Source organism: Homo sapiens, chromosome 19, assembly GCF_000001405.40.
Source record: "Homo sapiens chromosome 19, GRCh38.p14 Primary Assembly".
NCBI lineage: Eukaryota > Metazoa > Chordata > Mammalia > Primates > Hominidae > Homo > Homo sapiens.
The window spans coordinates 4,677,974-4,704,954 of NC_000019.10; the positions used below are offsets into that span (position 1 = coordinate 4,677,974).

The 26,981-nt window shown below is 57.6% G+C and overlaps 1 protein-coding gene and 1 long non-coding RNA gene across 46 annotated transcripts in view, besides 6 other annotated features; one reads left to right on the forward strand and one right to left on the reverse strand.

Moving 5' to 3' along the window:
* The window catches only part of DPP9 (dipeptidyl peptidase 9), a 48,616-nt gene that overhangs the window by 2,747 nt on the left and 18,888 nt on the right, over positions 1-26,981 (reverse strand). For 14 of the 45 annotated variants that reach the window (NM_001384615.1, NM_001384622.1, NM_139159.5 and 11 more), the window contains 16 exons: positions 26,158-26,331; positions 25,913-26,081; positions 24,630-24,743; positions 24,054-24,182; positions 22,243-22,304; positions 19,578-19,678; positions 17,405-17,582; positions 16,688-16,850; positions 12,905-12,984; positions 11,597-11,749; positions 10,784-10,919; positions 7,653-7,798; positions 6,690-6,836; positions 5,504-5,656; positions 4,723-4,865; positions 1,862-1,973 (listed from right to left, as the gene is read on the reverse strand). In NM_001384615.1, the coding sequence (NP_001371544.1) occupies positions 1,862-1,973; positions 4,723-4,865; positions 5,504-5,656; positions 6,690-6,836; positions 7,653-7,798; positions 10,784-10,919; positions 11,597-11,749; positions 12,905-12,984; positions 16,688-16,850; positions 17,405-17,582; positions 19,578-19,678; positions 22,243-22,304; positions 24,054-24,182; positions 24,630-24,743; positions 25,913-26,081; positions 26,158-26,331 (2,160 nt within the window). Of the gene's footprint in view, positions 1-1,861; positions 1,997-4,722; positions 4,866-5,216; positions 5,352-5,503; positions 5,657-6,689; positions 6,837-7,652; positions 7,799-10,783; positions 10,920-11,596; positions 11,750-12,904; positions 12,985-16,167; positions 16,851-17,404; positions 17,583-19,576; positions 19,679-22,242; positions 22,305-24,053; positions 24,183-24,629; positions 24,744-25,912; positions 26,082-26,157; positions 26,332-26,981 lie in introns of those variants that run through there. The other 31 variants (NM_001365987.2, NM_001384633.1, NM_001384632.1 and 28 more) reach the window with 23 other exon arrangements.
* Positions 1,309-7,975, forward strand: DPP9-AS1 (DPP9 antisense RNA 1). The gene is made up of 3 exons (NR_164163.1): positions 1,309-1,566; positions 4,828-5,402; positions 5,738-7,975. It is a non-coding gene; the product is annotated as a DPP9 antisense RNA 1 (long non-coding RNA).
* Positions 1,616-2,117: an enhancer, noted in NCBI's record as "H3K4me1 hESC enhancer chr19:4679601-4680102 (GRCh37/hg19 assembly coordinates)". NCBI's record gives its function as "activates a minimal SCP1, AML or CMV promoter by ChIP-STARR-seq in naive H9 embryonic stem cells {active_cell/tissue: H9 hESC(naive)}" and the evidence as "EXISTENCE:reporter gene assay evidence [ECO:0000049][PMID:30033119]".
* Positions 16,078-17,277: an enhancer, noted in NCBI's record as "P300/CBP strongly-dependent group 1 enhancer chr19:4694063-4695262 (GRCh37/hg19 assembly coordinates)". NCBI's record gives its function as "activates an origin of replication core promoter dependent on BRD2, BRD4, P300/CBP, MED14 and CDK7 cofactors, with strong dependence on P300/CBP, by STARR-seq in HCT116 cells {active_cell/tissue: HCT116}" and the evidence as "EXISTENCE:reporter gene assay evidence [ECO:0000049][PMID:35650434]".
* Positions 25,735-26,934: an enhancer, noted in NCBI's record as "BRD4-independent group 4 enhancer chr19:4703720-4704919 (GRCh37/hg19 assembly coordinates)". NCBI's record gives its function as "activates an origin of replication core promoter dependent on BRD2, P300/CBP, MED14 and CDK7 cofactors, and independent of BRD4, by STARR-seq in HCT116 cells {active_cell/tissue: HCT116}" and the evidence as "EXISTENCE:reporter gene assay evidence [ECO:0000049][PMID:35650434]".
* Positions 25,735-26,958: a biological region, named in NCBI's record as "BRD4-independent group 4 enhancer GRCh37_chr19:4703720-4704919".
* Positions 25,957-26,457: an enhancer, noted in NCBI's record as "H3K4me1 hESC enhancer chr19:4703942-4704442 (GRCh37/hg19 assembly coordinates)". NCBI's record gives its function as "activates a minimal SCP1, AML or CMV promoter by ChIP-STARR-seq in naive H9 embryonic stem cells {active_cell/tissue: H9 hESC(naive)}" and the evidence as "EXISTENCE:reporter gene assay evidence [ECO:0000049][PMID:30033119]".
* Positions 26,458-26,958: an enhancer, noted in NCBI's record as "H3K4me1 hESC enhancer chr19:4704443-4704943 (GRCh37/hg19 assembly coordinates)". NCBI's record gives its function as "activates a minimal SCP1, AML or CMV promoter by ChIP-STARR-seq in naive H9 embryonic stem cells {active_cell/tissue: H9 hESC(naive)}" and the evidence as "EXISTENCE:reporter gene assay evidence [ECO:0000049][PMID:30033119]".

Consider the following 26,981-nt stretch of genomic DNA (forward strand, 5'->3'; position numbering starts at 1 on the left):
CACTCTATCTGTCCCACACAATGCCATGTTCCCACCCCACAGCCTATCTCATCTCACGTTCTACTTCCTGTGGGGAGGCAGTGAGACAGGACCCTGGGCCCACCCTGTGTGCTGAATGCTTTTCTTTTTTCTTTCTTTTCTTTTTTTTTTTTCTTTTGAGACGGAGTCTCCCTCTGCCGCCCAGGCTGGAGTGCAGTGGCACAATCTCGGTTCACTGGAACCTCCGCCTCCCAGGTTCAAGCGATTCTCCTGCCTCAGCCTCCCGAGTAGCTGGGACTACAGGCGTGTGCCACCACACTCGGCTAATTTTTGTATTTTTAGTAGAGACGGAGCTTTGCCATGTTAGCCAGGCTGGTCTCAAACTCCTGGCCTCAAGTGATCCACCCGCCTCAGCCTCCCAAAGTGCTGGGGTTACAGGCGTGAGCCACCACGCCCGGCCTGAATGCTTTTCTGAAGACCTTGTTTGGCCCCAGCAGCCTTCAAGGAGGCCGAGTTATCATGACCGTTTCAAAGACGGAGAAACGAGGTGCAAGGGTGAATGCTGTCCCAGCTACCTGGCCCCTGGGAAGGCAGTGGGCTCGGGTCTCAGGCTGGGAAGAGACATCTGAAGTTCCATTCCAGCCCTGCCTGATATCACTCCCTGGGCTGCTTGGGATGTGGGGTGTCGGTGGGGGGCACCGCCAAGAGATCAGCTCATCACCGCACAAGGTGGCTCTGCCTCCCTCCTGCTCTGCGGCCCCATTTCCCTGCTCTGTTGAAAGGCAACAGGACGCTCCCCACAGGACAGAGCATGCCGAGGCGCCCAGGAAGCAGAAATTGTCTGCAGTCCACAGGTAATAAAACCTGGCCCTCTTGCCTCCAAGATACCTCCTGAATCTCCCGCCGGTACAACTATGGACCACGTCCCACTGTCCCCCACAGGCCATCCACAAAGCAGCCAGAGAAATGTGGGTCAAATGGCAAGCCGCCCAACTCTATGCTCTGCTCACAAGCCCGAGTCACCTCCCACCACCCTCAGTTGAAAATCCAGCCGAAGCCCCGCCCCCGCTGAGGCCCCACCCCTCTATAGCAGAAGCTCCACCCTGCTTACTGAGGGCCCCCCCTCCTCTACAGCAGAAGCCCCACCCTCCTCACCGCTGAGGCGCTGCTCCCACACCGAGCCCCACCCTCTCCACTACCGAGGCCCTTCCCCACACCGAGGCCAACCATTTACTGCGGAAGCCCCACCCACCGTAACACTGAAGCCCCGTCCCTCTGCAGAAGTCCCACCCTCCTCGCCATTGAGGCCCCGCCCATAACCATGCCCACCCCTTAGCGCAGAAGCCCCGCCCACCTAGACTGAGCCCCACGTTGCTGCCAAGGCTCCACCCACTCCCCCACTCTCCTCCCGCTCGGTCCCCCAAGCCTGGCTGGCTCCACTCACTCTAGCACCCTTCACTGCTGCCTCCTCAGGGAATGCTTGGCCCCAGCGCCTTAGGAAGGAGCCTGCTAGGGCCTTCAGCACTCAGCGGTTTCTTCTACGCAATTTCTCAGTTTCAAATAAAGCCCGTCTGCGGGGCAATTTCGGTAAGGGTTCCTCCCTCCATTAGGCCCGGAGCAGGGGTGGGTGTGGCAGCCCCCGATCCCGTGCTTCCAGCACCGAAGGCAGGCGGAACCCTGAGCTGTCAAGACAGGACTGATACATCAATGGCCCTGGGAGCTGGGAGGGCGGGGACACAGGGCTGTGGGGTGGGGGGCTGGGAGCCCCAGATCCCCCAGGGAGCCCCTGGTCACAGTGGGAAGCCACCCCGCCTCGTCCCACCCCCCACTCCCAGGGATCTGTCGGCTCGCGGAGGGGCCGAAGCCCCCAACAGCCACCCACCTGGAGCTGGTAAGGTTTCCCTGCTCGGATCAGTTGGGAGACGAGGAAGTTTGTGTGGAAAAAGTGCACGTTTTCGTCCAGGAAGCCGTGGAGGATAAGCAAGCGGTTGGGCCTGGAAAACAGATGGGGAAGGGTCTGAGGCCAGGGATTGTCCGTGGGGTAGGAGGGGAGCAGATCACAAGGTCAGGAGTTTGAGACCAGCCTGGCCAACATGGTGAAACCCTGTCTCTACTAAAAATATATTTAAAAAAAATTAGCCAGGCATGGTGGCAGGTGCCTGAAATCGCAGCTACTTGGGAGGCTGAGGCAGGAGAACTGCTTGAGCCTCAGAGGCAGAGGTTGCAGTGCGCTGAGATCGCGCCACTCACTCCAGCCTGGGCGACAGATGGAGACAGCATCTCAAAAAAAAAAAAAAAAAAAAGATCAGCTGAGTGTAGTGGTGCGCCTGTAAGTCCAGCTACTGTGCAGGCTGAGGCGGGAGGATCACTTGAGCCCAGGAGGTGGAGGCTACAGTGAGCTATGATCATACCACTGCACTCCAGCCTGGGTGACAGAGCAAGACCCCATCTCTAAATTAGAAAAACAAAAACAAAAACCCAGGCCGGGTGCAGTGCCTCATGCCTGTAATCCCAGTACTTTGGGAGGCCAAGCTGGGTGGATTGAGTCCAGTTGTTTGAGACCAGCCTGGGCAACATGGCAAAACCTCATCTCTACAAAAATATTTAAAAGTTAGCCAGGCGTGGTGGTGCACACCTGTGGTCCCAGCTGAGCCTGAGGCAGGAGGATCACCTAAACCCTGGGAGGGTGCAGTGAGCTATGATTAAAAAAAAAAAAAAAAAATGCTGAGCATGGTGGCTTACACCTGTAATCCCAGCACTTTGGGAGGCCAAGGCAGGTGGATCACTTGAGGCCAGGAGTTCAAGACCAGCCTGGGCAACATGGTGAAACCCCATCTCTATTAAAGATACAAAAATTAGCTGGGTGTGGTAGTGCATGCCTGTAATTCCAGCTACTGAGGAGGCTGAGGCACGAGAATTGCTTTAACCTGGGAGGTGGAGGTTGCAGTGAGCTGAGATTAAGCCACTGCACTCCAGCCGGGACCACAGAGTGAGACTCTCTCAACAAAACAAAACAAAAACCCACCTAGGTCTGCTGCTGTCTGTGGTCTGGAGTGTGGCATGGGCTACTGGTGAGGCCAACACGCAGCCTCACCAGAATCGGCTGCCCTAGCCCTTCCTGTCCGATACGGGAGCCAGTGGCCACACGTCGCCGTTGAAATTCCAGTTTACATTCATCCAAATTAACGGAACTTATAAACCCATTGAGACAGAGCACAGATCGGTGGCTGCCCCGGGACAGGGAGTGACTGCTAAGGAATGGGAACAGGGTTTGACGCTGGAGTGCTGGAAAGGTTCTGGAACCACTGCAAATGCACCGAGGGCTGCTTTAAGGTGACTGTTAGGTTCTGTGAATTTCACCACAATAAATTATTATTTTTTGAGACAGAGTCTCGCTCTGTTGCCCAGGCTGGAGTGCAGTGGTGCGATCTCAGCTCACTGCGACCTCACCCTTCCAGGTTCAAGCAATTCTCCTGCCTCGGCCTCCTTGAGTAGCCGGGATTACAGGTGTGTGTCACCACACCTGGCTAATTTTTATATTTTTAGTAGACATGGGGTTTCACCGTGTTGGCTAGGCTGGTCTTGAACTCCTGAAGCCACCGTTCCTGGCCTATTATTATTATTATTGTTTTGAGACAGTTTCTCTCTGTTGCCCAGGCTAGAGTGCAGTGGCACGATGTTCGCTCACTACCAACTCCACCTCCTGGGTTCAAGCGATTCTCCTGCCTCAGCCTTCCAAGTAGCTGGCATTACAGGCATGCACCACCATGCCCAGCTTATTTTTTGTATTTTTTTGTAGAGACGGGGTTTCACCATGTTGGCCAGGCTGGTCTCGAACTCCTACCTTAAGCAATCCTCCTGCCTTGGCCTCCCAAAGTGCCCAGGCAGACTTTTTTTTTTTTTTTTTTTTTTGAATTGGAGTCTGGCTCTGTCGCCCAGACTGTAGTGCAGTGGCGCACGATCTCGGCTCACTGCAAGCTCCGCCTCCCGGGTTCACGCCATTCTCCTGCCTCAGCCTCCCATATAGCTGGGACTACAGGCACCCGCCACCACACCCGGCTAATTTTTTGTATTTTTAGTAGAGACGGGGTTTCATCTTGTTAGCCAGGATGGTCTCAATCTCCTGACCTCACGATCCGCCCGCCTCAGCCTCCCAGAGTGCTGGGATTACAGGAGTGAGCCACCGCGCCCGGCCCATGCCCAGGCAGATTTTTAACCCCCTAGGTGACTGCATGGGATTCCGGGGAACATTTTCTGGAGACGTGCCAGAAAATGGGAACACTGTTTTCTCTCCATCAGAGAATAAGACCCATGTCAAAAGCATAAAATGGGACATCTGAGCTGGTCCCTGGCCCTGTGGACATCTATGTCCTGAAGCACAAGACAGAGGCTGTGATGGGGCCTCCAGCAGGATGCAGGGGAGTGGGGGAGGCTTGCCTGTGAAAAGCAGTGACTCGAATTCCCTCATCTTTCCCAGGGCAGGGCTGTGAGCCTCCTTCCCCAGACAAGCATCCCTGGGTGCCCCTTCCTGCAAGGTGCAGTGAGGAGGGAGGGTGGGCTGGAGGGGACTGTGAGGCACATGCAGGCAGACGCCACCACAGGAGCACAGCGGGGAGGCTCCACATGGCCTGAGGCTCCCTGGGCAGGGCCAGCTGGGGCAGGAGGGCACCCTCATAGAGACAGCTGGTGCCGGGGTGCAGGAGAAGCCCCGGGGAGGAGCGCAGGGCAGGGCAGTGGCCTTACTCATTGGGCAGCTTCTCCACGTGCAGGGCCACGGAACCCGCCTCATAGCCGTGCTGGTTGTTCTCAGGGACGTCCATGTAGCGCTCAGTGTACCCTGTGTCGTAGGCCATCCAGACGGTGACCGGGGCACCCGCGATGGCCACCTGAGGGACACAGCAGACAGATGGGGGCAGAGAGAGAGAGAGAAACAGGCGTCGGGTCCTACAGCCAGCATCAGCCGCTGTCCCGGGGCCGCCCTGGAGCCCGTGAGGAGCGCTCATGCACATGGGGCCGGCAAGGAAGGGGCCCTCAGACCGCGTGGCCCCCGTGGACGGTGCGTGGCATGGGGGTGGGCAGGGCGCCACAGGCGGGCAGGTGCGGCCCCTCCCCGCCGCCGCAGAGGGCCGGGTCCCACTGCCCGTCTGCCTCCTCCTCCTCCTCATCGCCGCCGCCCCGCAGTGCCCTGACTGCCGCCGGCCTGGGGCCCCCCCGCCGCTCTGCACACCATGCCCCACCTCTGCCCATCCGAGGCCGGGGTCCCGGGCTCAGCCTCCCACAGAGAGCTGCTGGCGGGGTTTTGTGCAGCCGGATGCCATCCTGCGGTCGGCGGTGGCGGGCAATGAGGAGGGGGGCTCGGCCCCGTGGGGCTGCTGCAGGGAGAAACAGCCACGTGGCAAGGCCCCTGCCGAGGCGCCTCCCCGGTAGGTGGGCTCCGGGTGGCGCGGGCGGTGGGCAAACGCGGCGTAGATGGGGAAGGGGGCAGGGAGGGGCGTGGCTGAGGCCGGCCAGGGGTGGGACCCACCTTGAACACCTGGGGCTTGTGGATTAGCCCCATGAGCGAGAGGAAGCCCCCGTAGGACCAGCCATGGATGGCAACTCGGCTCAGGTCGATGAAGCCATACTTCTCGGCCACGAACTGCAGGCCCTCCACCTGGTCCTCGATCTCCACCTGGCCCTGAGGGATGAAGCCGGGCACCTCTCAGTGGCCTCCTCCCGGTATGTCCCTCCCCTGCAGTGACACCTCTGCTCCTTTCAGGGCGTCTCTCCCTCTTGGATGAAAAGTGGCTCGCTGGAAGCCCCCTGTCCTTCCAGGCCCTGCTAACCCTGCCTGCTATCTGGGGATGGCTGGACAGATCCAGCAGCCATCTTGCTCTGCCACCTCCCAGGTGAGTGGCTCTGGGAGCCACGTCCCCTCTGAGGGCGTCAGTTTGCCCATCCCTAATAAAGGGACATTAACAGGAAGAGGACCCATTTTCTAGAGGGCACAAGGAAGAAAAAGACGGGTGCCCAGGCATGTGCAAGGGCACAAAGAATGGCTGGTGCCATCGCCGTTGTCACTACCAGCCACATCCCCACCACCGCCACTGCCACGATTTCAATGCTGGTGTCCCCTCTGAAGTCCGTGCTGAGATCACTACTGCGGCCTTCAAGCGACTGATCCATGGGGCCCACTCATGTGAATGGGATGAGGGGCCCTTATAAAAGGGCCTGATGGAGGGAGGCCACGGCTTTTCCGCTCCTTGCAACCCCTCTGCCGTGTAGGAAGCAGCACAGGGCCTCTCTGGAGGGTTGCTGACCAGGCAACCTCGTGGGAACAGAGAGCAGCCCTCCCCGACACAGCCCTGCCTTGGCCTTGGACCTCCCAGCCTCCAGAACTGTGAGAGATTTTCGTTCTTTATAAATCCCCAGGCTGTGGGGTTTTGTTCCAGCAGTGCAAAGGGGCCGAGATGATCGCCATCACCACCGTCGTCATCACCAGTGTCAGCACAACTTGTCTCTGTCCCTGCAGGGCGCAGCCCAGAGCTGAGCAGCAAAGCATACATCCCCTTTTGTTCTAAAAGGGCGCCTCATTGAGCCTGCGTCACCCCAGCCAGAAGTGCCCTTCTGCGGGTGGTATTCCAGAGCCGCTCCCATGCCCTGCACCCACACGGCCCAGGGCTCCCTTCCCGAGACCCAAAGGACCCAGAGCAACAGGGAGGAGTTGTTACCATTTGGTTTTTCAGGGCCCCTTCGAACCGAAGCCCTCGCTGACAGGAGCCCCTGCCGTCAATCACAACCACGGCGTAGCCCAGGGAGGCCAGTGTGTTGAGCCGCAAGTACTTGATGCCTTTGAAGGAGTTATTCACCAGCTGCACCTGTGGGGAGGTGAGGGCCAGCAGTCCAGCACGAGATGCCGGGCAGGACGGGCCTGGCAGGGGAGATGCCGGTGGGCTGGGGACCGGGCCGGGCTGGGGCCTCAGAGCCTAATGAAAGCACCTGTGCCCCGGAGGCTCTGGATGGACACCTGGGAGTGGCAAGGCGGGAGGGGCCCATACTCGGGACCCTGCTAGGGAGGGGGAAGGGCCACTGTCAGGCTCTTTCTCAGCTGGGCCACTGCCCCAGTCCTGCCTGGAACAACTACTCTGGCATGATGGACATTGGGGTGGCTCCTTCTCGGGTGGGGCCATCTGGGCACTGCGGGGTGCTGAGAAGCCACTCCAGGCCAGGAGAACTCGCAGTGGTGATGAACCACAAAGTACCCAGACATCGCCCCGTATCCTCTGTGGGGACAGAGCTGCTCTGGGTAAGATGTGCGCCTAAGATGGTCCAACTGCCAATCTGCTGCCTGCTTTTGACCCCTGCTCCAGGAATTGGGCCCAGGGCCCATGGCCACCTCCATACCAACCTGGAGACTAGGGGACTTCCTAGAGGAACAAGGGAGAGTCAGCAGGCGGAGGGGGAAGGGGAGGCCATCCAGGAAGGGCGGGGAGCGTGCAAACGGGCACAGAGAAAGGAGGGTGAGGGGCCCCGAGGACCCTGTGTAGTCAGGGCAGGCGGGGTGGGCTGGGGCACCAGGCAGGTAGCCGGGGAGCCTCCTCTGGTTGACTGTTCTACAGCTGGCACTTGAGTGGGGATGGGGAGTCCTCGGGTGGATGGTGGGGTGGGGGCCTGGGGAGCAGGTGTGCACTCACCTGGGGGCCTCCATATACAAAGAGGACGGTGGGGTGCTTCTTCCCTGGCTGCAAGGCGTGGGGCTTGTAGATCATGCCGTAGAGCCGCACATCCGAGCGCGTGTGGAAATGGAAGATCTCTGGAGGAACATAATCCGGGGGGCAGCCTGCGGGAGACAGGGCGGCTATCTGGCTGCCCGGGGAAGCCACATCCAGCTGACACCCTTGTTCTCCTGCCCACCCCAAGCCTTGGAGGGTGGACCAAAGCACCCCCTCTTTTCCTGGGCTTCCCGAGAGTTGATAATTGAAAAAAACGTTTTTTTTTCATTAAATAAGATTTGTACAGTTTTTGTAGAGATGGGGTCTTGTCTCCCTGTTGCCCAGGCTGGTCTCGACTTCCTGGCCTCAAGCGATCCTCCCACCTCGGCCTCCTGTGTAGGGTCACTGCTATTTTTGCAAAGCAACAGTTGTTGTCCAATTAGGATGGTGGGGGTTTTTCTGTTTTTTTTCTTTTTCTTCTTTTTTTTTTTCAAGACAAAGTCTTGTGATCTTGGCTCACTGCAACCTCCGCCTTCCTGGGTTCAAGCGATTATCCTGCCTCAGCCTCCTGAGTAGCTAGGATTATAGGTGCACGGCACCACGCCCGGCTAATGTTTTTGTATTTTTAGTAGAGACGGGGTTTCACCATGTTGGCCAAACTTGTCTCGAACTGTATTTTTTTTTTTTTTTTTTTGAGACGGAGTCTCACTCTGTCACCCAGGCTGCAATGCAGTGGCACGATCTTGGTTCACGGCAACTTGCACCTCCTGGGTTTGAGCAATTCTCCTGCCTCATCTTCCCAAGTAGCTGGGATTACAGGTGCGCGCCACCACATTTGGCTAATTTTTGTACTTTTAGTAGAGATGGGGTTTCACCATATTGGCCAGGCTGGTCTCGAACTCCTGTCCTTAGGTGATCCACCCACCTATGTCTCCCAAAGTGCTGGGATTACAGACGTGAGCCACCACACCCAGCCATCGAACTCCTGACCTTGGGTGACCCGCACACCTTGGCCTCCCAATGTGCTGGGATTACAGGCGTGAGGCACTGCACCTGGCCCAAAGTTTTTTCTTTAAATAAATGTATGTAGGTAAATTTTGGTGGGGCAATTTATAGGAAGGTGAGTAAAGGGTACTACAGGTCTAGGGGTAGCAGAAGTTTACTGTGGAGGGCCAGATAGCAAATATATTGGGCTCTGGGAATTGGGCGTGGCGGGACACGCTCCGTGCTGTGTCTCTGTGTCATCTGCTGCGGTAGCGCTAATGTGGCCACAGACCACAGAGGGACTGCACGTGGCTGGATTTGGCAGCAGTTGGCCTGCTCCTAATGCAGGCAGTCTTCAAACGTGGCACAGATTGGGAGTTTCGGGAAACAGTGCCTCGTTCCCCAGGGCACTGAGGTTCTGGTCTCTGCCCCCACTGCTAGGCTGGGTGCCCTGCTGAGCCCCTTCCCCTCCCTGACCCATCTCCTCATCTGAAGCCAGGGCTCCAGCTCCTGGCGGTGTCGGTGCGGACAGGAGAGTGAGGACTGGGCTCTAGAGGGAGGCCTGGGATCTGTTTCTGCTCAGGGGTGAGGGCATCACAAAATGCTTTCCAGCCCACGGAATACCCCGCATATGCTGGAAATTCGTTGTGTTTAGAATGTTCTGGAAACCCACCAACATGGCAGAGACAGGGCCAGGGTGGGTTGTCCTTGTACTGAGTGATGCCTGGGAGCCCAGCAGTGTGCTGACCCGCTGGTTTTCATCCCACACTCTGTATATACAGTTTCGTTGATAAAGAAACACTTCATGGTGATACGCTGATGTGTGTGACGGAGCCAGCACTGGAACCCGGAGTCACCAATGCAGGGTCCTGGCCAACTTCCAGGTTCTGGGCAAGGTGTCAGGTTGCCTCATTTCCTGAGGCCCCCCTGTGACTGACCCTTTGCTCCTTTTCCTGATAAAGGCCTCGGAGTGTCGGCTCTGAGCAGGTGCTGCTGTGGGCGGCAGCCTCTGGGCACAGGACACCATAAAGGGCCCTCTGCATGCCGCTGTGGCCAGGACTGCAGGGTCCTGGAGAAGGTGAGTGGAAAGCCTGATAACCACGGCGGGTTTCAAACCAGTGTGGGTGGACTCTGACATCCCGGCCACCCCTGCATGGACCACCACTGTTCAAAAGGTTTTTTTTTTTTGAGACGGAGTCTCGCTCTGTCGCCCAGGCTAAAGTACAGTGGTGCGATCTCAGCTCACTGCAACCTCTGTGTCCTGGGCTCAGGCCATTCTCTTGCCTCAGCCTCCCGAGTAGTGGGACTACAGGCGCCCGCCACCATGCTCGGCTAATTTTTTGTATTTTTAGTAGAGATGGTGTTTCACCGTGTTAGCCAGGATGGTCTCGATCTCCTGACCTTGTGATCCACCCGCCTCAGCCTCCCAAAGTGCTGGGATTACAGGCATGAGCCACCGCGCCTGGCCCAAAATGTTTTTAATTTTTAATTTTTTTTTAGAGTCAGGGTCTTGCTCTGTTGCCCAGGCTGAAGTGCAGTGGTACAATCACACTTCACTGCAGCCTCCGACTTCTGGGCACAAATGATCCCCCCCATCTCAGTCTCTGGAGTAGCTAGGACTACATGTGCACACTACTACACCCGGCTAATTTTTAACATTTTTGTAGAGGGAGTTCTTACTATGTTGCTCAGGCTGGTCTCAAACTCCTACGTGCAAGCAATCCTCCTGCCTTGGCCTCCCAAAGCATTGGGATTACAGGCAGAAGCCACTGTGCCCGCTGATGAAAATGTTTACTTGTCACCTGCCCACTACCCTGGGAGCTCCCAGTGACAGGGTCTGTGTCTCACTGGTTACCATTTTGGCAGGGGGTTGGCACGGAGCTGCATCCCTGCCGGGTTCTGTGCAGTCCGGCCCTTTACTGCAGCTCGAACCCAGGACCGTCTCGGACGGCAGGGGCTGTGGCTTATGTCCTATGACGAGTTCCCAGATGCTTGGAGGGGCCTGGGTGCTGTGGGAGGCCAGGCAGGCCAGCTCCAGGCCTCTGCCTCTTTCCCCAGCATGGGGCCCTCGTCCCGTTTTACAGCCGGGCGGGCGGAGGCCTCCGTGGGGCGGGGCAGGGGCTACTCACTGGCTGCCTCCATCATGCTAGCCCAGAAGCGGGGCTGCTTGTGCAGGGGGTCGTCGTCGGGGCCGCTCAGCTTGTAGACGTGCACGCAGGGCGGCGTGCTCACGCTGCTGTAGTGGCTGACGAACATGTCGAAGTTCTGGGGGTGGAATGGGGTGATGAGCTCCACGGGATGCCGCTGCGCCCTTTCCACTGGGTGCCGACCGCAGATCCAGGGTAGCTTCCCTCCCGCCCGCCCCCATCCCTCTGCCCCTGCCTGTCATGAAACCTCAAAGCTCCACCCGCTGCTGCAAGGGGGGCACCACTGCCATCGCCCCATTCTGCAGAGCAGGAAACTGAGGCCAGGACGAGTCTGTCCCCCAGCCAGGGGCCTATGGACAGTCACCGACCGCTGGATCTGCCGAGGGCTCTGCCACTGCACAGGCCTGCAAGCTTGCTGGCTCCACAGCTGGCAAACTGCAGCTGACTCGTGCCCTGGACTAGGGGTGGCCCTCTGCATGGCCACCGCCTGACATTCTAGAATGTTCTGAGAGGCTAAGGGCCACATCCCACCGCACACAGAGCGGCGGAGCCCCAGCTCAGCGGACGGGCACTGGGGGGCTCCACCACTTACTACCCTGGGATTGGTGGTGGGCAATTCACTCCCTTCCCTGCCCTACCCAGGAGGCAGGGGTGGGCACTGCCTGCCCCAAGGCAGCTATGAGAATGCGAGACCATGAGAATGACCCTGAGTGCTGTGCCGGGCCATGAGGGACTGCTCTGGCTGGGAGCTGTTGGACGGGCACAGGGCGGTGCCGTGAGGCTGGGCGGTCCCACCTGGCTCATGGAGCAGCTATGGGAGAAGCCGGGCGTGGTGAGGCGTACGATCTCGCCGGCCGCCTCATAGCTGACCACGTAGAGGTGGTGCTCCAGCGGCGTGTCCTTGGTGCCCTGGAAGTACACCAGCTTGGTCTCCTCATTGACCCAGATCTGCAGGGGGACAGGGGATCCTCGTGATGCGTCCCAGATGCCCCTGGGCCCACACCCCTCTCCACGCCCCACAGGAGTGGGCCCCATGTTCCTCGGACTGGGGACGCATGCTGTCCTCGCCCAAGTCTGGCTTTAGGGCTGGAGATGAACCATCCCTGAGAGATGCGCTTATCTGGCCCCGTGGGCTGGGAGCAGCCCCTGGTCGAGCTGGGAACTGCGTGTCCTCAGGCGGGACCTGGGGCCTGCATTCCACCCCCAGACAGCTCTTTCCTAGCTTGAATTGGGAGGGCCCACCAGAGCCAGGTGGGAAGGCCAGGGAGGGCACCGTGCCCGAAACAGAGGCTCAGGGAAACCCGGCAGTCCCCAGCCTGGTCAGCCGTTCCTCCGACCCAGGTGCTTGGGTTCAGAAGTGGCAGGGCCCTACCTTCCTGTGGGAAGCCCCAGTAGGCCCCGAAGTGGTGTCTCCTGGAGGAGTGGGAGGGCAGCCTGCACTGCGTGGAGCAGCGGGGCCCCTCCTTCACCTGTGCTGGGATGCTAATGGTCTCGAAACAACTGCTGCTGCCCAGGAGCGAGCAGGCTTTGGCTGATGCCTGGAAAGGAGCCGGGAGGCCTCAGAGCCCCGAGGGAGGAGAGGGCATTGCCCCTGTGCCCAGGGCCTGAGAGGCCGGTGGAGGCAGCTGGAGCGTGGGGTGACCAGGGACCCTAAGACGTGAAGAAACTGAGGATAAGTGGTCTCCTGGGACAGCGGGGCACAAGCTTCCAGTCGGGGGAGCATCATGCCCCACAACAAGGCAGCTGGACGCATGGCCCCAGACGGCCTGCAGAGGACACACTTCCTCTTTCATGATTTCTAAAAGGCTTCCAATGTTTTCCTTAATTTCAGGGTGAAAGGATAAAGCACGTGAATGGCACAACGTTCAAGATGAGACGGGGAGGTGATGAAATGATTGGCTTGTGTGTATGGTAGACACCGTGCTGAGGCCTGCGAACTGCTGTAAAGCAGGGTCCTCACAGGTGTGTGTGCGTGTGTGTATGTGTGAGAATGAGTATGTGTGTGAGTGTATGTGTGTGTATGCGCGTGCGTGTGTGTGTGAGTGTATGTGTGTAAAACACACATGCATGGAGCAGGGGAAGGCTGCAAGGAGACCCTGGTACCTTGGAGCCGTGCCTCGCCAAAACCTCCCATTCACCGCTGGTCAGAGCAATCTCTTCCTTAATGGGGCACTTAAATTCATCTGGAAAGAAAGAAAGAAGGGAGGTGAAGGGGCCTGGGAGGTGATGCAGGCGCCCAAAGGCACCCAGGCCAAATTCCACCCGAGCAGACTCACCATGGAGCCACTGAAACCCCGGCTTGCTGTGAACTCAGACGCCAGCACAGGCCACTGCGTCAGACCTGCCACATGGGCAAGGAAGCCTGCGGGGCCTGTTCCTGCCATGTGGATGGCAGGCCCAGTGTTTCCCACGATAAACCAGGAGACCCGTGGCTCACTCCTGAAATCCCAGCACTTTGGGAGGCCGAGGCAGGAGGATTGCTTGAGGCCAGGAGTTTGAGACCAGCCCGGGCAACATAGGGAGACCCTGTCTCTCCAAAAAAAAAAGAAAAATTAGCCAGGCGTGGTGGCGTGTGCCTGTGGTCCAAGCTACTTGGGAGATTGAGCTGGGAGGACTGCTTGAGCCAGGAGGTTGAGGCTGCGGTGAGCTATGGTTACACCACTGCCACTCCAGCCTGGGCGACAACAAGAACCCGTCTCAAAAAAAAAAAACAAAAAACAAAAAACAGGAAGAGAAACCAGGAATCTGGATTTTCATTGGAATTTCCCAATTTTAGAACCCTCCAAAGGCCACATGACATCTGTGTGTGGCACGGGAAGGGGGGCGGGGAGTGTGGGGGAGGAGCCAACTGGGCCCATGACCTCTTAGGACACATTAGGACTTTGTAAAACCAGACTTTTTTTTTTTTTTTTTTTTTTTGAAGACGGAGTCTTGCTCTTGTCGCCCAGGCTGGAGTGCAATGGCGTGATTTTGGCTCACTGCAACCTCCGTCTCCTGGGTTCAAGTGATTCTCCTGCCTCAGCCTCCCGAGTAACTGGGATTACAGGCACCTGCCACCATGCCCGGCTGGATTTTGTATTTTTAGTAGAGACGGGGTTTCACCATGTTGGTCAGGCTGGTCTCCAACTCCTGACCTCAGGTGATCCACCTGCCTCAGCCTCCCAAATTGCTGGGATTACAGGCACGAGCCACTGCGCCTGGCCGACTTTTTTTGTGGGGGCGAGGGGGTAGAGACAGGGTCTTACTATGTTGCCCAGGCTGGTCTTAAACTCCTGGGCTCAAGTGATCCTCCCACCTCGGCCTCCCAAAGTGCTGGGATTCCAGGTGTGAGCCACATCCCCGGCTGGAACAAGATGCTGGTGAAAGCGCTAGGGCTAGAGACCAAGGCTCTGCTGGTTTTATGATTGTTTTTTTGGGGGGTAGGAGGGTTGACTTCATGTTTGAATTTTCACCAGGTAAAGAATGACAGTGCGGGGTGCATCATGGCACACAGCAGAAACACACTGAGATGGTTTGTAACTGAGGGCTCACTGTCCTTTCCTAACCTTTTAGGTCTAAACAAGCTACGGCAAACGTGTCTGTCAGGAGCACGGGAGGGCAGATGTGGTTTCCCTGGCGTAGAGGTCTGGGTGTGGTTACTTGTGGCATCGGGGCCTGGGGAGGAGAGCGGTTCCCACCCAGCCCCAAGACCCAGGCTCCTGCCCGCGTCCCGACGTGTTCCTTCTGATGCAATGTCACTTGGGGTCACCTCCTCGCCATGCAGCTGCTGTCTAGGAGATGCATGGTGTGTGCTGGGGGCTGAGCAGGGTGCTGGGAAATCTGGTGTGCCCACCTCACAGGCCGGGGGTCCCTGGGGGCACTGCAGCAGCCTGGAGGGTCTGTGCCCCTGGAGAGTGGCAGCTGCAGCTGGCTCCACTTGAGACCACATTTGAAACGTGAGCACTCGGGCTGGCCCATTTTCCCACAGGGGGCAAAATGAGCATTTACATGAAATCCCAATGCCAGATGGCGGTGGCTGAGCCAGCCAGACAGAAAGTGAAACACCAATGAGCCGAAGACAGCTCCCCTTTGAGACGCTTAGCCAGTAAGTCTGCACTGGCCGCATCCCACCCAGGAGGACCCCGATGCTGGCCTGAGGCAGCTGTCACCCCGCCGGTCCGCATCATACTCAGCTCCGTGGCAGCCTACAGCATCACCTGTCCCTGGCTCATTCGCCCTTCAGCTCCTGCAGTCCCGGATGCCTCGCTCCCTGGGGTCTCTGTCCCCTGTGTTGGGGGACGCCTTGGCTGCTGTGTGGGCTCTGCCCCCAGAGGGCACCGGACCACATCTAGGGACATCTGTGGTTGTCACAACTGGAGGTGCTCCTGGCATGGAGTGGGTGGAGGCCAGGGATGCCACTTGGTGCACAGGATGGCCCCGCCCCAGAGAACCACCCGGCCCTGGCGTCCATGGTGTCCCTGCTCTAACTTTGAAGAGCCTGGGCCGGGCTCCCGGACCACCCCACCTCTCTATCCAGAAGTGACCCTTGGGAGCTCTGTCCCATCCCGAGGCTGACACTGTCAGTGTGCAAGGACACCTGCAATCCCACCAGGAGTCTCGGTTCCCTGAGCTCCAGGCACGGGAACTGGCCCATACAGCATCTCCACTACCGGGCACCTCAACTTGAACACATCCAAACCCGACTCTGGATTTTTTCTCTCCTAGAACAGTCCCTCTCTGAGTCTGTCTTAGACTGGACCTGCGGAGCCCTCCGGGCATCCATGCCGCCTCCCTCCTCTCTGATCCCCCACCCTTTCCACTGCAAACGGTGTGGGCTCAGCTGTCCAAGCACATCCAGAATCAGACCCACCAGGACAGCTCAGCCACTGCCATGACAGCAAGCCTGTCGCCTCTCCCGGCCCCTGGGCCTGTGTGCAAGCTGCAACCAGAGGAGTCATCTGAAACTGAGGTGAGGGTGACGACTTCCTATTTCTCTCGGGGTCAAAGCCCAAGTCCTCCTGGAGCCCCAGCAGGCCCTGCACCATCTGCTTTTTCTCTCCCCACCCTCTCCTCCCTCTCTCCCCCTCCTCCCTGTGCTCCAGCCACAGGGGCCTCCTCCCTATTCCTCCAACATGCCAGGAACAGTCCTGCCTGCCCCAGGGCCTTTGTACGGGCTGTGGCTCTGCCCAGAGCCGTGGTGTGGACCCCTCACCTCCACAGCATGCTCTCCAGAGACGTCCTCATGCCCTCCCGTTGTAGAAAGAAGGCCCCTCACCCTCAAGCCTCTCGCCCGACTGCATTTCCTTCCACCACGCACATCACACCAGAGGCAGCACCTCTAACTGTTTCTGGAATACTGCCTCCTCCACTAGAAGGTCCCAAGAGCAGGGATTTTCCTTTTTCTTTATTTACAGTGAACAATTCCATCACAGCTACCTACAGCAGGAGCTGGCAAATGTTTCTACAAAGGGCTAGACAGTAAATCTTGGCCTTGCACAACAGTTTCTGCTGGGACTACCCAGTTCTGCTGCTGCAGCACAAAAGCGACCACAGACAGTCTCTGTAAACAAGTGGCTGTGGCTCAGTGCCAATAAAACTTTATTTATGAACACAGGTGGTGGGCCGGATTTGACCTGTGGGCCGTAGGTGGCCAACCCCTGGTTGTGCTAAGGGCCTGGCACAGGGGAGGTGCTCAGTAAATCTGCTGCCTGAATAAGCCAACAGTTGGGTGCTCTAAGCCCTGCCAGATCATGCAGTCACTGGGGAAGGCTGGCTTCCTGCCGATCCCTGTTCCTTCTCCCGCAGGGTGTGCTGGCTGAGTGGGGGGGCCGACCAATGAACAAACAGCATATTGAACCACACGTGACTAACGCGATGAGTCGACAGCATTCGTCAGGCTCTGCTCACCTTCCCCGGGGCTGAAGGGCTCACTCCAATCGTAGCCCTGGGATTTTAAAACGGCGGTGACTTTGTACAAATGGCAGAAGCCGGTCTTGCATTCATTGGCGCGGAGAAAGCAGAGCTCGTCCTCTCCCTCTGATTGGGGGAAGGGATAGAAGATGTCATGAACCTGTCCGGAAAGCAGATAGAAGATGCGTCAGAAGGTGTGGGTGGCCGGGCATGGTGGCTCACACCAGTAATCCCAGTAGTTTGGGAGGCTGGGGCAGGAGACTTGCTTGAGCCCAGGAATTTCAGAGACCAGCCTGGACAACATAGTAAGACCCCACCTCTAAAAATAAATAAATAAATTAGCCAGGCATGGTGGTGCAGGCTTGTGGTCCTAGCTACTCTGGAGGCTGAGGTGGGAGGATCACTTAGGCCCAGGAGGTCAAGGCTGCAGTGAGCTATGACCACACCACTGCACTCTAGTCTGGGCAACAGAGCAACCCTGTCTCTAATTAAAGAAAAAAATAGATGAGGGGAGAGGCTCCAATGGCTGCCAGACTCACCAACCCCCCTAGACCCTCTTCCCTGCCAGCCAGGGATGGCCAAGGCCTGAGCTCACTTCTCCACACAAGGGCAAACACCACCTGCCATTGGCGCTCAGCCTTCTAGGACGTGGGGGTGGGGACAGTGTGACTCCAGGGCCCAGGCGGGCATACAGCCAGCGCTTGCCCCGCTTACATTGATCCAGACGTTGGTGACCTCCTCGTACACCACATACGGCTGGACATTCCTGGGGACAGCTCTGGCAGAGGCTAGCCGCTGCTCCTCATTCTCTGTGCTCGGGATGAACAGGGCCGGGGGGAGGAGGACGAGCTGGAGCCACTGCTGGGGCCGGTCCAGGAACATGGCCCAGGCGCTAAGGGGGAAGATGCGGGGGAAGATGAGAGGGAAGCTGGGAGCCTCAGTGGCCTGCACAGAGAAGCTGGGGACGCAGCGTCCAAACCCGTGTGGAATCAGGGCTGGGCTTCCTGCGCTGGCTTCACCTGCACTTGGCCAAGTAACCCTGCAGCACCCACAGGCTTCCTTCCTGGCACATGCTTAGGGGAGGACAGGATGGGTGACAAGATTTCATGATCCAAGTGTTCCGGAAACAATGGCCTAAGTCTCACAGCGGCAAGCTCTAATAGTTTCTCCTCTTCACTGACTCTTCGGCCCACAGTCGCTATCCTTTATTTCGTAGTTTGCTTTATTTTATTTATTTATTTCTTTATTTAATTTTTTGAGACAGAGTTTCACTCTTGTCCAGGCTGAAGTATAGTGGCACAATCTCAGCTCACTGCAACCTCCACATCCCAGGTTCAAGCGATTCTCCTGCCTCAGCCTCCTGAGTAGCTGGGATTATAGGTGCCTGCCACCATGCCCGGCTAATTTTTGTATTTTTAGTAGAGACAAGGTTTCATCATGTTGGCCAGGCTAGTCTCGAACTCCTGACCTCAGATGATCCGCCAGCCCCAGCCTCCCAAAGTGCTGGGTTTACAGACGTGAGCCACCGCACCTGGCCTAAATGAACAATTTTTAAACTTGAATTTATTTTAAGAGGAGATGTTAGTATTCTACGTGGAAAAGCAGCACCTCCACACACAGAACAACGAAAACCAAACCAAAGGGAAGCATCACAGGGACATAAAATACTAACTAGAGTGGGTGCCTGGGCTCAGGCCTGCAATCCCAGCACTTTAAGAGGCTGAGGTGGGCGGGTCGCTTGAGCCCAGAAGTTCAAGACCTGCCTGGGCCTGGGCAACATGGCAAGACCTTGTCTCTACAAAAAAAAAAAAAAAAGTCCAGGCACAGTGGCTCACGCTTGTAATCCCAGCACTTTGGGAAGCCGAGGGGGGCGGATCACAAGGTCACGAGTTTGAGACTGTCCTGGCCAACATGGTGAAACCCCATCTCTACTAAAAATACAAAAATTGGCTGGGCATGGTGGCACGTGCCTGTACTCGGGAGGCTGAGGCAGGAGAATTGCTTGAACCTGGGAGTCAGAGGTTGCAGTGAGCCAAGATCATACCACTGCACTCCAGCCTGGTGACAGGGCAAGACTCCGTCTCAAAAAAAAAAATTAAAATATTAGCTGGGAGTGGTGACTCACACCCACAGTCCTAGCAAATGTACATATGGCAGCAGCACATAATAGAATTCATTGTTAACATTCCATTGGAGGCATTAACCAATGCAATTAGAAAAGTGAACAGGCTAAGAGGCATAGGAATGCAAAAGCAAGACCCTCATATCTATAAAAAATACAAAACATTGGCCAGGCATAGTGGCGAGTACCTATAGTCCCCTCTACTCAGGAGGCTGAGGTGGGAGGATTGCTTGAGCCTGGGAATTCGGGGCTGCAGTGAGTTATGATCGCACCACTGCACTCCAGCTTGGGCGACAGAGCGAGACTCCATCTCAAAAAAAAAAAACAGGCAGAGGCTGAATTTGCCCACTGGGGTTTGGGGCCCCCGTTTAGGGAGGTGGTAGAGTTCTCTCCTCGACATGGGTGGGAGGCTGGGGAGTGAGTACAGGGGAGCACCTCTACTTTGTGACTCAGTTTTTCTGAGCCTGAGGTCTGGGGACACCTGAAATCCCCTCTGTAGGTCTCCTCCACACTCTGGGTAACTGGATCAGCATGTCCTAGTGGCACTAACACTGGGACTCATAAGTCCAGTGTTTCATCCTCAGACTGGCTGAGGTCAGGAGGGCCCTTTGGACACTGGTCTGAGGCCTGTCCTGGCGGTTGCACTGCGGGAAGACGTGAGCAGATGGAAGGAATGGCACGGAAGGCCAGGAGGCAGCTTCGGTGGCTGCCCAGGGCCCAGGGCCCTGCAGGTGAATTCCTTGGGTTCCAGCCAGAGACACTCACTATTTGCCATCCCGGGTCCACCCGGCCCTGGCGATGTACTCCACCTTCGGGAACAGCGAGCTGAAGGGCTGCACCAGCTCCTTCTCCTGGGTCGAGACGATCTGAAGGGAAACAAACAGGTGTGGGTCATGCCCTGGCCTGCCCGGCGCTGCTCGGAGGAGAAGGCCACTGCGCTGGGTCCCATCATGTCCCCCCCAAATTCATATGCTGGAGTCTCAGCCCCCAGAACCCCAGAACGCAACCTTCTTTGGAAATGGGGCCACTGGAGATGTACTGAGTTAAGACAAGGTTGTGTGGATGAGGGTGGGCCCTGATCCAGCATGACTGCTGTCCTTACAGGGGGACACATAGACATAGACACATAGAGGGAAGCCGTCTTGAGAAGAGATACAGGAAGCAACGGCCACCAAGAAGCCATGGAGAAGGAGCCACCTGCTAGCAGCTTGGTGTTGGACATTATCAATTTCGGCCGTGTAAGCCTCCCAGTCTGTGGTCCTTTGTCATGGCCCAAACAAATGACTACACCCAACAGGGGCAGGTGGGCTGGGCAAGCCAACGGCGGCACCCCAGCAGGTGCCTGGACCCAAAGGCTCTGGTCTGGGCTGTCCCTTAGAGCCAGGTGGCTCTGGGCAAGCACAGTCCCCGGACCCAGGGCTTCCCCATGCTTAAACAGGGCTGGCACGGCGTTTCCAGGGTATTGAGAGATAGGGGACCTGAGCCTTCCTCGTGTCTAAATGGGGCTGGCACAGCATCTCTGGAGGATCAAAGGGAGAAACGGCAGCAGGGCCTCCAGCTCTACCACTTGAGTGGGTCACCAGCCCCACATCCCCAAGCCGACTTGTTTGATTGGCATCACCCCAGCCCACCTAAGGACTCTGCACGTCTGAGAGTGCAAGGAGCCACTAAAACAGCCTGGCGGGGCCAGGTGCGGTGGCTCACACCTGTAATCCCAGCACCTTGAGAGGCTGAGGCAGGTGGATCACTTGAGGTCAGGAGTTCGAGACCAGCCTGGGGAACATGGCAAGACCCCATCTCTACAAAACCCACAATTAGTTAGGTGTGGTGGTGCATGCCTGTAGTCCCAGCTACTCAAGAGGCTGAGGCAAGAGGATTGCCTTGAGCCTGGGAAGTTGAGGCTGCAGTGGGTCATGATTGCACCAGTGTACTCCAGCCTAGACGACAGTGAGACCCTGTCTCAAAAAACAAGAACAAACAAGCAAAGCAAAACCCCAGCCTGGAAGGAGGTTTCACGTGCATCACTGGCAAAGCCACTCAGACTGATCACCTAAAATCTGCCAGAATGCTACTGTCAAGAATGCAAAAGAAGGCCGGGTGTGGTGGCTCACACCTGTAATCCCAACACTTTGGGAGGCCGAGGCGGGCGGATCACGAGGTCAGGAGATTGAGACCGTCCTGGCTAACACGGTGAAACCCCGTCTCTAATAAAAAATACAAAAAATTAGCCGGGCATGGTGGTGGGTGCCTGTAGTCCCAGCTACTCGGGAGGCTGAGGCAGGAGAATGGCATGAACCCGGGAGGCGGAGCTTGCAGTGAGCAGAGATCACGCCACTGCACTCCAGCCTGGGCGACAGAGCGAGACTCCACCTCAAAAAAAAAAAAAAAAAAAAAAAAAGAATGCAAAAGAGGTCTGGAGAGGTCCTAATCACATTATGTCATTTTTGCAAGAGCACACAAGGGCCTCCTTGGTTTGTCCCAGCCCTTCCATCCTCTGGTGCAGGGGAAGGGAGGGTTTCTCTGGACGCCTGGTGTCCCCATCATCATCTGCTCTCCTCTGCCCCAGCCTCTTTGGCCCAGGGCTCTGTCTGCGAGTTCTCCAACATGATGTTACTTAACTTCCTGACACCCTTCTGGGTCTTATGGGATTTGCAACTTCCGAGAGAACTGATCAATGTGGGGCTATTGGGGGTCCCCTGGGAGGGCAGGGATGTGAGAGAAGGGAGGGATATGCTGGGCTGCAGGGGGTGGCTACGGAGGAGGGGGCCGAGGGAGATGCGGTCACAGGTGTGGTCTGCTGGTGACCGCCTTGCTGCGGGGTGATGATGCCTTTTGCTGCCTGATGGCGCCTCCAGGCTGTGGGGTCCTTTGAGATGACCCCCAGGTGATGAGGACCCTGTGTACTAGATCTGAGGAGGTCGGGGGGATGGGGATCCAGAACACTCTCCTCCCCACAGTAGCTGACGGGTCCGGTGAACGGACCTGAGGATCTGCCTGAAACGCTGGAGGAAACAGCCCGTCCGAAGTTGGGGTCCCCCAGCCATCTGCCCCACGGAGTTCTCTGTTCTGGAAACTTGGAGAGAGGGCAGCTCTGGATCCACACGTCACCCACTCCCGAGGTGGCCTGGGAGCACCTGCCGCGCCTGTCCTCGCAGGGCCCCTGCCCGGTGCTTGTTCCTTACCGCGGCGTGGCCTCCAGTCTCAGGACCCACTCTGTGAGGCAGGGAGGCCAGCTCGCCACGCCGCATTCTAGGCACAGGTCCAGAGACACACAGGGAAGGCCTGTGGCTAGGCGGACCGGGCGGCAGGGCTGGGGCCTGGGGAGTGCCCCCGAGAGGGAGGTGAGTGACCTGCCCATCCACCCAGCTGCCTACCCGGCCCTTCCCCGCATCATCTAGTAGATTATCTGGTATGCAGCAGGCCCCCTTACCTTGCCCTGGCTGTCAGTCTGGAACTCAGCCAGTTTCAAGGCAATCTTGGGATTCTTGCTGCCTGCAAAAACCGAAGTGAGGTGAACACCAGGCAGGCATCACCCGTGTGTGCCGAGAGCCGGCACGGGGGGCCTGGGCTGTGGGGTGACGTCCACAGAGAGGTGTACAATTGGAGTGGGGGAGGCAGGAGAAGCCAGGTGTCCCACGGTCTGTCTGTAGGCACATCGTCCTGCTGGAACAGGCATGACACCCTCAGGTGGGGACCTTCTGACTTTGGGCCTGGATCGCATTCCCAACAGTGATGTGGCATCTGGCTTTCTCATTTAAAAACACGGGCCACACCCTGTGCTGAGAGCTGGGGCTTGTAGGGGCCGCAGATACCAGGAAGATGCCATCCCTGCCTTGGGAGAGCTCCAGAGCAGACGGTGAAGCCCGAGGCATCACAGTAAAACTGACAACGTGACAAGTGGGGTGTGTCCCATGCAAAACCAGGGAGCCCGTGTGACAGCCAGACCTGCGCCCTCCGGAGGCCAATGGCGACAGAATAAGGGACCCAAGAGGCTTCTGAAGAGTGGGACTTAGTTCAGGCTCCGAAAGAGGGCGCGGGCCACAGCAGAGCGGAGAATGCTTATTTTTTTGGCTAGACCTACGAGAAACTCAACTCCAGCCCTCGTGGCTCTGGCCTCCAGGGCAGGTGACATCTCTGAGCCTGTTTTCTCATCTGTCATACGAGGGGGAAAAGACTGACTTAGCTCATTTGCAGTGGGAGTTGGAAAGACCGTACAGGAAGCTTCCATCTAGCACGGCACAGAGCAGGCACTCGCGGAGTATGGGCAATAACGATGCTCTTATATGGTCCCATGGGGGTTGCAAACCCAAGGCCTGAACGCGGAATCTGGGCTGCACGTGTGTTCTGTTTGGCTCCAGAGATATTTTTAAATAATTGGAAAGATGTTTAAGAATTGGGAGTGGCCGGGCGTGTGGCTCACGTCTGTAATCTCAGCATTTTGGGAGGCCGAGGCGAGAGGACCACTTGAGGCCAGGAGTTCGAAACCAGCCTGGGCAACAAAGCAAGACTCCATCTCTACAGAAAATTTAAATATTAGCTGGGCATGGTGGCACACACCTGTAGTCCCAGCTACCTGGGAGGCAGAGGTGGGAGGATCACTTGAGCCTAGGAGTTGGAGGCTGCAGTGAGCTGTGATTGCACCACTGTACTCCTGCCTGAGCCACAAGGTGAAACCTTGTCTCAAAAACAAACAAACAAACAAACAAACACCACTGTAGTGTGAGGGCCAAATCCAGCCTGCCTTCTGTTTTTGTATGGCTGAAAATCCTTCTTTCGTTCTGAGACGGTTAAGAAAACAAACAAACAAAACAAGAGTGACATTTTCGCTAATATGAAAATCATATGTATCTCAAGGTGAATTATTTGTAATCCAAACTTCAGTCAAGTTTCCTTGGCACATGGCTACGCCCATTCCTGCACGTGCCACTTCTGTGCTCCAGCAGCAGGGTGGGGCAGTTGCAAGAGAGCCTGCCTTCGTCTGGCCCTGGAAGCCTGAGATACCTGTGCCCTCATCCCTTCCAGAGACAGCTTGCTCACTTCTGAGCAATATGATCCGGTGGCCATGGTAAGCCAGGAGAAAGGGGCGGCCCCTGCAGGGCAGAAGCCTTCCTTCTACACCCCCATAGATGCCCAGAGCACACACATGCAGCTCAGAGGGCCTGGGGGACAGTGCACCTCACCAGCCATGCCCCAGGGGCCTCAGATCCCCGGCCCAGCCCCTCACATGTACCGGGCACTCACCTGTCCTGGGGTACCGATACGAGTCCGTCTTCCTTTCTTCTAGCGCAGGAGAGGGGACGTGAATGACCTCCACCTCGGACTCATCGACTTCCTCATACAGGATTCGCAGCGTCTTGAGGCCCTCTGAACCTTGGGTGGGGTGGTGGAAAAACTGCTGAGGGTGCCAGAGGCAGAGTCCCTGCCATCAGCACCCCCCGCCCCCTGCAGCACCGGGGCCTGAAGATGGGCACCGAGGGCTCTGAAACCAGAACCCCGGCTCTGCCATTCGCTAGACCTTATGCCAGTCCCAACTCTCTGGGCTTCAGTTTCCTCCCCTGTGCAGTGGGAAGCAGAGCAGGGCTACTCCCAGCATGAACTGGCATGGGAAGTGGCCACGTGGGGTGTAACGGGCTGAACTGTGTCCCCTCTTAGGGCAACAGCGATGTCTACAGTCGTTAAGGAACTCTCTAGGTGTTGGTATTGACAGACTGTGGAGGTGGTTTGAGGTGAAAGGAGTAAGGCGCAGGAAGGACACAGCCTGTGATTCCAGGAGGAAAAGCACGCCCGGGAGCATGTTGAAAAATGGAAGGGACCTACCTTCCCAGGAGGCTGTGGGGCACCACCAGTACCCAGTGAAGCGGTCGAACTCTTCCTGTATGACGAAGGTGGCCACACCCGCAGACTTGGGGTCATCCAGGACATTGGATAAACCTAGGGGGAGGGACGGAGAGCATCAACAAGGGGTGAGCAGCCTGCTAACACTGGGGACAGCCAGGGGCTCAAGGAGAGCATGAGAGAGAGGGAGAGAGAAGGAGGGAAGGAAAGGGAAGGAGAGGGGGAGGGAGAGGGAGGGAGAGGGAGGGAGAGCTCGGAGCCGACTGCTTTCAAGCAGGGTTGCTCCACCCCACACTGTGGACACTGGGGCCCTCTTGGTCTCTGGGGTGGGGCCGTCCAGGGCACAGCAGGGTGCTGAGCAGTGTCCCTGGCCTCCACTCACCCCATGGCAAGCCAGGAGCACCCCCGCCCAAGTGTGCCGTCTAAAAACGTCTCTGGACATCGCCGAGTGGCCAGGTTTGGAAAGTGGGGCCCGGGCTTATGGGACGGAGAGGCAGCGATCAGTGACTTGAAACCAAGACAAGGAAGGATGGGGTCACTTCTGATGAGCAAGGGAGTGGAGAGAACACGCAGGAAGCAGGTGAGATGTGGCCTTGACTTGATGGGGCTGGACAGGCAGAGTGGAGGGGAAGGTGTGCAGGGGCAGAAATGCCCAGGGGCACCTGGAAGAGGGTCCAGAGCACCGTGGCTGGGCTGACGCCTGCAGCAGAAAACCACAGAGCGGCAGGGTGCGGTAGCTCATGCCTGTAATCTCAGGACCTTGGGAGGCCGAGGCAGGTAGATCATTTGAGGTCAGGAGCTCAAGAGCAGCCTGGCCAACATGGGGAAACCTCGTCACAACTAAAAATACAAAAAAAAAAAAAAAATTAGCCAGGCGTGGTGGCGGGCACCTGTAATCCCAGCTACTCGGGAGGCTGAGGCAGGAGAATCACTTGAACCCAAGAGGCGGAAGTTGCAGTGAGCCGAGATCATACCACTGCAGTCCACCTGGGCACTCCCGCCTGCGCTCCCGCCTGGGCAACTGCACTCCCACATGGGTGAGACTCTCTCAAAAAAAAAAAAAAGAAAGAAAGAAAGAAAGAAAACTACAGAGCGGCAGGGACGCCAGGACCTCCCGGGAGACATGGTAGGCTACAGAAGGTATGCACGGGAGGGTGGCTTGTGAGGGGTGTGTGCAGGAAGACCCTGGCTGTGGGGGCAATGGGGCCTTTCTGGAAGCTGGCCAGGTGGCTATGGTGGCCGTGCACAGGAGGGGCTGGCCCCACCTTGGTGGCAGAAGGTCAGCCGCCGCTCCTCGCCTGTCTCGATGTTGGCCACCCACAGGTCGCTGTTATTGATGAAGGAGAAGAAGGCAGGGTCGGCAGGGCAGATTTTGGGGTCCATCCGGGGCCCTGAGCACTGGGTCTTGATTTCCAGCGGTTTCATAGGGGACACCTGAGGACAGAGACGCCCAGCTCAGGGGGAGGGGCCCTCCACGCCACCCCCGCACACAGCCAGGGCCAGGGCTCACCATGAAGCCGTTCTTGCCGCCGTCGCGGCAGTGGAAGAGGCTGTTGCTGGCCTGGAAGAGGAAGAGGCCACTCTCGCTGTGGAAGTCGTAGGAGGTGATGCCGAAGACCCCCAGGCGTTTCCGCTCCCTCAGCAGCTCCTCCTCCCGAGAGTAGACCCCATGGTGGGGCGTGGCCTGGAAACATACAGGGGACAGGGGGCAGCGTCAGTGGGCAAAGAGGATCTCCCGCTGGCCAGGGCAGAGATCCTCGGGCTGGGGCATTCCCAGGGAATCTGACTTCGGGCCTCGCCAGAGAGAACTTCCTGTACTGGGCAGAATTGGCTGCCGGAGCCCTTGACACAGTGGGTGGCCAAAGATTGCCAGCGAACCTGGCCCTGCAGGACTGGCTGAGTGTCCTAGGAGGTGGCAGGGGAGACTCTGGGGCCAGAAGCCTCCTCACTTCCTGAGTTCCCTCCCCACAGACCCTCTCCATAGCAGATGGGGGCCCCTGGGAGGGGCTGTCCCTGCCCCACACCACCGGAGTACTCTCTCCGGGTCCCTAGTGCCATTCTTACAGACTCCCCACCCTCCTACCCTATTCACAATCCCTTCCCATCAAGAGCTTTCAATTTCGTAATCCCAGCACTTTGGGAGGCCGAGGTGGGCAGATCACGAGGTCAGAAATTCGAGACCAGCCTGGCCAATATGGTGAAACCCCGTCTCTACTAAAAATACAAAAATTAGCCGGGTGTGGTGGCACGCGCCTGTAGTCCCAGCTACTTGGGACGCTGAGGCAGAAGAATCACTTGAACCGGGAGGCAGAGGTTGCAGTGAGCCGAGATTGC